Source organism: Homo sapiens, chromosome 17 (assembly GCF_000001405.40).
Source record: "Homo sapiens chromosome 17, GRCh38.p14 Primary Assembly".
Lineage (NCBI taxonomy): Eukaryota > Metazoa > Chordata > Mammalia > Primates > Hominidae > Homo > Homo sapiens.
Genome location: NC_000017.11, coordinates 37,540,200 through 37,551,233, shown reverse-complemented (window position 1 = coordinate 37,551,233; position 11,034 = coordinate 37,540,200). Strand labels below are relative to the sequence as shown.

The window sequence follows — 11,034 nt, the reverse complement described above, 5'->3', positions numbered from 1 at the left end:
GTAATGTAGTTTTATTTTATCCTCATGTTCACCACAGTATCTCTTGCTCTCTTAGTTTGAGGGTTAAAGGTACTTCTTGTTGGAGAAATAAGAAGTGAGCTGATGAAGAGAGAATAAAACCTGGTAGATTGCTATCTGCGGACCTTAATCCTGTTTAGAAGCCCTAACTTAACTCTGAAGGGGATACTGTCTCTTTTAACTCTTGCTATAATCATTTGTATGGAAGGTAGATAATACTGATAACATTGCCTGATTTCTCTGCGTATTATTACATTTAACCCTTTGAGGCCTTGCTGCATATAATTTCAACTAGGCTGTTTTTTCCCCCTGACTAAATTTAATCTGCGGCACTGAAGCATCTTGACGTGCAGTCATTAAAATCATATGGTTTTATTGGCAGCAAGAGCTGACCCTCATCTGTGACATTTTCAAAGGGTTAGCAAGACTTCTGTAGCTACCTACCTACCTATCTGTAAAGTAGCTCTTCTTTGACATTGAAAATCTTTGTATTTTAATTAGCACCTTTTTTTTTTTTTGGCTGCTTTTCTGATGTCTTTTTTTCAATTTAGACATTTTCTGTGTGAATGTGCCTTCAAATTTACTTTAGTATATTCCTCTGCAAATACTGATCTGCATGCTTATTCTGATGACTTCTTTTCCAGCTCTTCTGTATCACTCTCTTTTGTGATCTGTAAGTCTTGTGTTAATAAATAATTCTTTGGCATATTTTGAAAGTGTGGGGATGTGTGTAATTTGTACTTTTTCAGGGTTAGACCAAAGAAATACCTGGCTGATACCAAGTTTAAAGCAATAGTATCCTAAGACTAGAGGGTTTTCCCCTTTTGTTTTGTTTCGTCAAACACTTGTCTCCTGAGAAAGTATTGGTACATTTTAGCCTTTGTTTCTTATAATTCCATTAATGTAAGTTTTTAACATGGCATTGGATTGAAATAGAAAATTAAACTTAAATAAGAATAAACCTTACACTACTTTACATGATAGGGAGAAAGAACATTTATTGCAGTTTCTTCTCTTGAAGAAACTGATCATATTTTATTGTAGAGAATCTGTCTCTACTAGGCATTACATTGAAGAGAAGAGAAGGGGAAGGTGGGGAAAAAGACCTAAGAGTTGAGTGTTGTGGAAAGAGTTAACTATAACTATCTAGTTATGTAATAACTAGTTATTAGATATATATCATCAAATAATATTGAAATGGACTTCTGAGCACAGTAAATGTAAACTGTATTTAAATTGATAATCTGCATAATGGAAAGTGTTCTGTATTAATAGCAGGAAGTCTTGAGGATGGAATTTGATTTGAGTTTGAAATTGGGTACTCATCCGGGCACGGTGGCTCACACCTGTAGTACCAGCACTTTGGGAGGCCAAGGTGGGTGGATTGCTTGAGGCTAGTAGTTCATGACCAGCCTAGGCAACATGGCAAAACCCCATCTTTACCAAAAAATACAAAAATTAGCCGGGCACGGTGGTGGGCTCCTGTAGTCCCAGCTACTCAGGAGGCTAAAGTGTGAGGATCAGTTGATCCTGGGAGGTAGAGGCTGCAGTGAGCTGTGATCACATCACTGCACTCCAGCCTGGGTGACAGAGCAAGACCTAGTCTCAAAGAAAGAAAAATTGGGTACTCCATCCTCTAATTGCAGAGCATGTTAGGTTTGCAGTATGTGTTCTGTATGATGAAGCAACCCTCAGCCTTTTTTTTTCACTCATAGTACATAAAGCAAATTCTTAAAACATGTTACTTTAGGGGGTGTGTCTAACAAAGTAAGGTTTGAACCATTCTTATTTTTAAGAAAACATTTTCTAGAAGGACCAATGAAATGTGGCAACAAGCGTAGGCCAAACATGGAAAATATTTTCTCCATTTTAGAGTATGGTAACAGTAAAAAAACCTTGAGAATATTACTGTTTTTCAGGTTAGAAACCCCAAAGCAATAAAATCCCTGGGAAAGGGGATATTTCCATGGTTTACATTTTGTATTCTTATGTTTTGAGGCTTTAATTCTTTGTTCTTTTTTAGAATTTGAGGAAGGAAGGAAATTAAATCACTGAAGATGAGGACTTTTTTTTTTTTTTTTTTTGAGACCAGGTTTCTTGTTGCCCAGGCTGGAGTGCAATGGCACAATCTCAGCTCACTGCAACCTCTGTCTCCCAGGTTCAAGTGATTCTCCTGCCTCGGCCTCCTGAGTAGCTGGGATTACAGGCACATGCCAACACACCCAGCTAATTTTGTATTTTTAATAGAGATGGGGGTTTCTCCATGTTGGTCAGGCTGGTCTCGAACTCCTGACCTCAGGTAATCCGCCCGCCTTGGCCTCCCAAAGTGCTGGGATTACAGGCATGAGCCACCACGCCCGTTTTTTTGTGTGTTTTTTTTTTTTTTTTTTAAGACAGAGTTTCCCTCTTGTCACCCAGGCTGGAGTGGAATGGCGCAATCTTGGATCTCGGCTCACTGCAACCTCTGCCTCTGAGGTTCAAGTGACTCTCCTGCCTCAGCCTCCCAAGTAACTGGGATTCCAGGTGCCTGCCACCACGCCCAGCTAATTTTTGTATTTTTAGTAGAAGTGGGTTTTCACCATGTTGGCCAGGCTGGTGTCAAACTCCTGACCTCAGGTGATCCACCTGCCTCGGCCTCCCAAAGTAGTGGGATTACAGGTGTGAGCCACCACACCCGGCCTAGAAGAAGATGAGGATTTTGAATAGGACTCCTAAGAGATCACTTGTAGTGTCTTAAATATGCCATTTAAGAAAGAAAAGTTGCATATAGAGGTTTAGGTTAACTCTGAGAAAAGCCAGGCCTGCCATTCAAAATACAGCACTTTCCAGAGCATACTGCTTTAAAAAGTTGAATAATACTTGGTTTCAAAAACCTTGTGTAAATGCATTATATTTTATTTATGATATGTGCTTCCTAACAAATTTGAAAGAAAGAGATCTTAGTGTAGCTTCCATCTAGTGATAATGCCAGCTGCCCTTTATTTTGGATTTTCCCGTGCTATTTATAAAACCAATCTCTTGATGGCTTTGACTGAGGAATTTCTTTGTCAGTGGAATTCTGTAATGCTAGATTGGTCCATGTAGGACTGCTTTATTTTAACTCTTTTCTGCATTTATCTGAGCAGGCTGCAGAAAATGACTGAATGTAACTGTGTGTAAAGCATACATTCACAAATTGAGTAATGAGTATTTCCAAAGTAACATTACTTTTTAGGGAGGTAGTTTTAATATAATGTAATGACTTAAACTTCTTTTGCGAAAAAGACTTGAAGAATTCTATGCTATAGGTTTAAACAAAATACTGTTTTGTTTACCCTGATGCCAAGTAACATATGGTTAGTGCTTCACTTCATGTATCAGTGCCTGAGAAAGTATACCTATGTATCTGTTGTTCTATAGTCACTCTGTTGTTCACATCAGAATCCCTGCTGATTTTTAGAAGTAGCAAATGACGGCCAGGCACAGTGGCTCACGCCTGTAATCCCAGCACTTTGGGAGGCGAAGGCAGGCGGATCACCTGAGGTCAGGAGTTGGAGACCAGCCTGGCCAACATGGTGAAACCCCATCTCTACTAAAAATACAAAAATTAGCCAGGTGTGGTGGCTCGTGCCTGTAATCCCAGCTACTCGGGGGGCTGAGGCACGAGAATTGCTTGAACCTGTGAGGTGGAGGTTGCAGTGAGCTGAGATTGTGCCACTCACACTGCAGCCTAGGCGACAGAGCGAGACTCCATCTCCAAAAAAAAAAAAAAAGCAGCAAATGAACATGAAGGGAACACTGGCAATATCAAAAAACCTGTGCTAAATCCTAAAATAATGCAAAGAACCAAAAGGCCTCAATTGCACTTCCTGCCTTCTGTGTTCATTTGGTGTCTTTTTGGTGAGATTTTTACTGATGACCAGGGGCAGTCCCACTGTGTATCCTGACACCATTCCTTGGCCTTCTGTCTTCCTCTAACTTAAAATATCCACAGGATTTCCAGTTTTCTTTTTTGAACTTAAAACACTAACACAGAAACCCAAAGGTGCTTCTAGATAGTGTGGATATAATTTATACCATGAAGTTGTGTGAGTCAGTACAAATGAAGAACAAGAAATTTTCATACAGATTAGAAAACACTGGAAGGCAATTAAACAGCAGCATTTTTCAGCCTGTCACTTATACTGTGATCACTTTCATTCCTGTTTTCTTCAGTGTTTGAGACTTATAGGACACAGACCAGGTTTTTTAGTTAATAGAGAATATGAATATGACTGATCTCATAGGTAGATCAAAGATAGAATAGGGACTAAGGGAGATTAGGGCCCAGGGTAGAGAGAAACTGAAATGTACAAGTATTTTATGGTTTGCTTTAGTAAATGAAGTTTAGATTACATGAGTACTGTAAATTAAAATATATATCTTAGTCCAATGAACATTTTTATTGCTATATAAAATGAGAATAGTGGAATTTGTACATATATCTCCTTTCTTCTTTCTCCAAACTCCTTCAAAAGCCAGTAACTCTTCCTCACCTGGGCATATACTTAACAGCTTTAGCAAATGTCCCTGGGAATGAGCTTGGCCGTCTGTGTCCTGTAGTAGCAGCCAACATTCTTTGTTCCAAAAAATACCGTTTTCATGTACAACATCTATTCAAAAGAGATTTGAATAGAGGTTATGGAAGAGACTGATAGGGTTACTTGCCAGCATAAGCAAGAAATATGTGTTTTGATTTGAGATCCATGATGGAAAACAGATCGTATACATTTATTTCTTTGGCCTTTGTAATAGGACATCCCTGATTGCAAACAGATGTATGCATTAAAACAACAATTTGGCATATTATCTGTGTGCAAATGCAGTCAGCCTAGCACAGCCTAGGAGTTTTGCAGCAGAACTGGAAATACAGTAGTGATTTTCTGTTCATTTTATTGCATTCATTCTCCATTTTCTTTTTCCTTTTTCTCTTGCAATTTTCAGAATTCGGCTATCAAATTGAAAATCCATCTATACTAGCTTCAGTGATTACAAACTAAAATGTGGGTTATTCCACATCATTTTTTCTATCATTTATGTTGTAGGTCTTACATAATCTTTAATATTTTTAAGACCATTATACAATAATACCGATAAGTGGACTGCTTAGAAATGTAGAACTATTAACAGGGGAAATGAAGAATTTTCTTACTTTAAGCTACCTTCAATGAACTGATGTACCACATTTTTCTTAGTTAATGGTTGACGTATATTTGCTATGCCAGAACATACTGCCCTGTAATTATATTGTTTATAAATTCTAAGTTTAGGGGCACGGTGTTCTGTCTCACATTCCTTATGTACCATCAGTACTGGTGTTCAAATGAATTACACTTTACGAAATTACTTTTTCACACTATAATAGCCAACAAATAAGCAAAAGTAAATTTAAAACTCAATTTTGAGGCTTGATTTTAGTGACTCTTGTATATTTGCTCTTCATTTTAAGTATAAAATATTTCTAAGTCTTTCATTTGCTTTCCTAGTCTTTCATTTAGTCTTTTCTGGGAGTTGCTCCAAAAGGCAAGATGTTACAGGCGTATCATTTTTAACAAAAATAAGATTTCCTGAAATTTTAAAAATGCTTAAAAATGCCTCAGCTTAGGCAATCCCTTATTCCCTGTAATGCCTTTTACCTGATTATATTAGTCATTTTAGTTTTTCAAAAGACATTTTCTTGTTGCATAATTGCACAGAAAGATCTTTTTATTACCATAGTAATATCTTGATTGCAGTGTTTGAACTGGAGCTATCTTTTCATTAAATTTATCATTTGCTTCTAGGAAAATTGTCTCCTTTTTTTGAGACAGAGTCTCAAACTGTCGCCAGGCTGGAGTGCAGTGGTGCCATCTTGGCTTACTGCAATCTCCGATTCCCTTATTCAAGCGATTCTCCTGCCTCACCCTCCCGAGTAGCTGCAATTACAGGCACGTGCCACCACGCCCAGCTAATTATTATTATTATTATTTTTTTTTTTTGAGACGGAGTTTCGCTCTTGTTGCCCAGGCTGGAGTGCAATGGTGCAATCTCAGCTCACTGCAACCTCTGCTTGCTGGGTTTAAGTGATTCTCCTACCTCAGCCTCCTGAGTAGCTGGAATTACAGGCATGCACCACCATGCCCAGCTAATTTTGTATTTTTAGTAGAGACAGGGTTTCTCCATGTTGGTCAGGCTGGTCTCGAACTCCTAAACTCTGGTGATCCACCTGCCCCAGCCTCCCAAAGTGCTGGGATTACAGGCCTCCCAAAGTGCTGTGAGCCACCATGCCCAGCCTGCTAACCTTTTAATAGGAAAGATTCTGGAAGCAGTTCCTAATATAGTTTCCCAAAACGCTTTCGTCGGGCCTAGTAATAGAAATATCTGTATTATGAAACATTTTTCTGAATGTATCTCTCCAAGAATAGTCCTGTATTTAACTGCATCATCCCCTGACTGAATTTCACCTCATTTGAGTCTGGACACCTTCTGGTCCCTTTAAATCGTGGGGAAAAAAACGAAAACAAAAAATCACTACAGCAAAAACCAAGAAAGCTTTGGGCTAAAGGCTTTTCCATTCATTCTAAACTATAAATTTTTCACCTGAGGCCAGGCACAATGGCTCATGCCTGTAATTCCAGCACTTTGGGAGGCCGAGACGGGCGGATCACCTGAAGTCAGGAGTTCAAGACCAGCCTGGCCAACATGGTGAAACCCCGTCTCTACTCAAAATACAAAAACTAGCCAGGCGTGGTGGCGGCTGCCTGTAATCCCAACTAATCGAGAGGCTGAGACCGGAGAATCGCTTGAACCCAGGAGGCGGAGGTTGTAGTGAGCCGAGATCGCGCCATTGCACTCCAGGCTGGGTGACAAGAGTGAAACTCCATCTCAAAAAATCAATTAAAAAAAAAAAAAAACTTTTCACCTGAGTCGTTTTTTCCTTCTGTTTTATAAACCACATTTGAAGGGTACCATTGCACCACAGAATTTTTAAATATGCCATCATTCTGTGAAAGCTGTTTGCTTTTTGCTGGTTGGTTTTTTGTACAACTAGTGTTTTTTGTTTTTATTATTCACTTAGCACCCCTTTCCTAACAGCTCAAAGAAAGAGAGATTTGGATTATACCATTAGAAGAGCTATGGAAATGTCAGGAGCTTCTTACCCCTCATAAATTATGCAGTATTGCTGTGAATGAAAGAGAAGAATGACTCCAAGTTGGTTCACTTATTGACTTAGTTCTGAAAATCTAGGTCATAAAACTTTTGAGCACTTTCCTTGTAAATCACATATGTGGTTGTCAGAGGGAGAGTCTCATATTTGGCCTTCTTGCCTCATGTACAGTGACTACAATGAAACGAAATGCATATCAACCCACTTCTCCACACCAGCCAAATTCAGTCTCGGCTGGTTTTGCTTTCTGAAAATGAGCAAGAAAATTTTCTCCTAGTAACACCACTAAAATGCTGAGTTGACTTTTCATTTTTGCTTTGAAATTCCACTGTAGGCCCTAAAGCAGCAATTAACTGTCAAGTTGAGGCTGGTGGCACCTATGCTGAGCAGACACTAGCTATTATGTATTGCTCACCAGGCACCAACCTGGCCTTTTACACACATGATCATGGTTGATGGTCATAACACAGTCCTTCCAAGTACATGGTCTTCTCCTCTCCTCATTTTACTGATAAGCAAACTGAGGTTCAGAAATGTTCAATCATTAGCCTAGTGTCATACAAATAGTAGGTAGCAAGGTTGAACTCAGGTCTTTCCAAATCAAAAACCTACATTCTTTATGCTGTTTTATGCTACCTCTTAAATTACTTAACTATATATTAAGAATGCTTTGTAAAATCAGTCGTCTGCCCCAGCAGTTCTTTCTTTTTCTTCTTTCCTTTTTTTTTAAAAAATGGGGAGTAGATACATAGTTGAAGGAAAAAGTGGAGCCCAACAGGACCCAGATCTTTTTATTGTATTTTTTTAAGGGCTAAAGTAGATCAGATTGATTTTCTTTCCTCATACTTCATCACAGCAATATGACGTCCAATTTGACCAAAATAACAACTAGGTAAGTAATTGCTTGATTAAAATCTCATGTTTGGCATTGCCTGAGACAGAAATTCTAATAATTGATAATATTATGACAGAAACCCTAATAATTGATTAAAAGTTAGATGACATTATTTTCATTTTAGTTTTGAGAAACTGTCAACTTTTAATTATTTTGCCATGTGCATTTCACATGACCATGTTTTAAAGGCACATTTTCCAACAAAGTCAAGATGAAGGGAGACATGTTTTAGGCAAGGAATATCAGTACATTTTTAAGTTGATAAGGGAACAATTTATTAAATGACCCTAATCTTATATCAAACAGTGTATACTTTGGTAGATGAACCTCCTATCTTTTTTTAGTAATTTTTATAGCCAAAGAAAATGGTTCTTGGTAACTAAATGTAAATGCCAACTCAAGGCTAATGTGGGTTTTTTTAAGATCAGATTTTACAGCCCAACTCTTAATTTTAGTACAAACTCTAAATTTAGCTAATTTCAACATAGTATAAAACTAATCAAATATGCTAGGCATTTTGCTTCTACAGAGTTTAGGGCATTTTGCCTAAATTGCTTGCCTCTAATTGTGGGGTCTTATTTCCCTTTCAGATATAGAGGACTTAAAATATGCTGCTTTTGGAAGCTACAGTAGCAATTTTGCAGTGAGCACACTTACAAGCTATGACTGGTCAGACAGGGATGATGCAACTCAGGGCAGAAAACTCTCTCCATTTGTCCTCTCAGCAGGAAGTGGATCCCCCTCAGCCACCTCAATTCTTCAAAAGAAAGAGACTTCATTTGGCAGTTCTGAAAACATCACCATGACATCTCTCTCCAAAGTAACGACCTTTGTAAGTGAAGATGCTCTTCCAGAGACCACCTTCCCAGCTCTTGCCAGTTTTAAAGACACGATTCCTCAGACCAGTGAGCAAAAGGAATATGAAAACAGAGACTATAAAGATTTCACAAAACAGGACCTGCCTACGGCTGAACGGAGCCAGGAGGCCACGTGTCCCAGCCCAGCGTCCAGTGGTGCCTCTCAAGAAACCCCGAACGAATGTTCGGATGACTTTGGAGAGTTTCAAAGTGAAAAGCCCAAAATCAGCAAATTTGACTTCTTAGTAGCCACTTCACAAAGCAAAATGAAATCCAGTGAAGAAATGATCAAAAGTGAGCTGGCAACCTTTGACCTTTCTGTTCAAGGTGAGTAGCTTCCAAGGTAGATTTTACTATTGTGGTTTTTTTCCACTGAGATGTTAGATGTTCTTAAGAATAAAATGTTGCTCTCTGGTTTCGCAGGAAATAGATTGTTCTAATCTTTGAAATCAGGGTCAATTACAGATAGCTATAATAAAGATTTCCCTGAGACGGGAGTCAAAATCAGCATCCCTCAGATAACTGCTTTATGGGCTAAAAACAAGCACAGCATGCAGGTATTGCTCATTAGCTCGTTTGGTTAGAGGTGTGCTGTGTTAAAAGAGCCAGATAAATGGATTCGAGCCACTTGTAGGCACATTAGCTCCGCTCATGTTCCCTGAGCACAGATAATGTCTTTTAATCCAAAGGTTGCAAAGTGGGGGCCGGGGATCTGCATCTAGCCTGCATATCACATTGACCCACACAAAAGATTTTTAAGTACGAAGTAATTGCCAGTATTTAAAAGACATGAGATTTCCCAATCTGGATTTCCAACTTTTCTTGAGAAGTCATAATATCTGGCACTAGTAGGTCTACAGTCCCATATGTTGGCAGCTGGAGCCGAAGAGCACCACTCCCTGTAGGTGGGTCATTCTCTCTCTCCTACCATAATCCCCACCGCTTCCTGTCTCAGCGGACCTACTTAAGTTGTTCACTTTACTTGCCTGGTCTCTGAAGGCATTTGAGTTTGCCTCTTCTGCTTTAATCTCATCCTGACAGGAGGGGTCGTTGATTTCAACTGGATTGAGAGACTGTGAAGGAACTCGGTTACAAATCCATAACAAATGACTGGAAAAGCCACACAACTCTTACATACTGATATTTAGAAAGGTGCTTTTGTTCTCCAGACTCCAGTGATTCTGCACTGGGCATTATGGAAGACTTGTGATAGATCAGAGAAGAGTCATGTTGAAAACGAAACGCAGGGAAACCGTGCAAGAGAGAACAGTAGAAAAGATTTAACATGTAGCTTCCCAGAAAGAATGAATGAGGAATGTGTTTGTGAATGCCTCATGACATAAGCATCTGAAGAAGAGGGTCGTGGGCTGGGCGCGGTGGCTCACACCTGTAATCTCAACGCTTTGGGAGGGGAGGCAGGCAGATAACTTGAGATCAGGAGTTCGAGACCAGCCTGGCCAACACAATGAAACCGTGTATCTACTAAAAATACAAAAATTAGCCAGGCATGATGGTGTGCACCTGTAGTCCCAGCTACTCAGGAGGCTGAGGCAGGAGAATTGCTTGAACCCAGGAGGCGGAGGTTGCACTGAGCCGAGATCACACCACCGTACTCCAGTCTGAGCGACAGAGCAAGAATCTGTCTCAAAAAAAAAAAAAAAAAAAAAAGAAGAGGGTTGTGGTAGCGAGGAAGAGCCTCTGCCTGAACTAAGGTGAGTAGCCAAAACCTTTGACTGTATTATCCCCTTCTCCCAGGATCACACAAGAGGAGTTTGAGCCTTGGTGATAAAGAAATAAGCCGTTCTTCTCCTTCTCCAGCTTTGGAGCAGCCTTTCAGAGACCGTTCCAATACTCTGAATGAGAAGCCCGCCCTGCCCGTCATCCGAGACAAGTACAAAGACCTGACGGGAGAGGTGGAGGTGAGAGGAGAGCTTTCTACAAGGGGTGGGTAACAGACCAGCAAGCACACAGGGCCCCAAGAAAGAATGCTGTCAGCTTTCACATGGGGAAAATGAGGGGCAGAAAGACACAAAGCACCAGACATAAACTATGTAATTAAAGTGAGGCAAGGGTAACATTAGCCCTGGGTGAAAACATTT

General features: G+C 39.7%; 1 protein-coding gene across 52 annotated transcripts in view, besides 1 other annotated feature; it reads left to right on the top strand.

Moving 5' to 3' along the window:
* Positions 1–11,034, top strand: part of SYNRG (synergin gamma) — a 94,612-nt gene that overhangs the window by 58,185 nt on the left and 25,393 nt on the right. For 17 of the 52 annotated variants that reach the window (XM_017024081.3, XM_047435226.1, XM_017024102.1 and 14 more), the window contains 2 exons: positions 8,669–9,262; positions 10,691–10,854. In XM_017024081.3, the coding sequence (XP_016879570.1) occupies positions 8,669–9,262; positions 10,691–10,854 (758 nt within the window). The remainder of the gene's footprint in view (positions 1–8,668; positions 9,263–10,690; positions 10,855–11,034) is intronic. The other 35 variants (XM_047435246.1, XM_047435245.1, XM_047435242.1 and 32 more) reach the window with 4 other exon arrangements.
* Positions 8,352–9,551: an enhancer, noted in NCBI's record as "MED14-independent group 3 enhancer chr17:35901785-35902984 (GRCh37/hg19 assembly coordinates)". NCBI's record gives its function as "activates an origin of replication core promoter dependent on BRD2, BRD4, P300/CBP and CDK7 cofactors, and independent of MED14, by STARR-seq in HCT116 cells {active_cell/tissue: HCT116}" and the evidence as "EXISTENCE:reporter gene assay evidence [ECO:0000049][PMID:35650434]".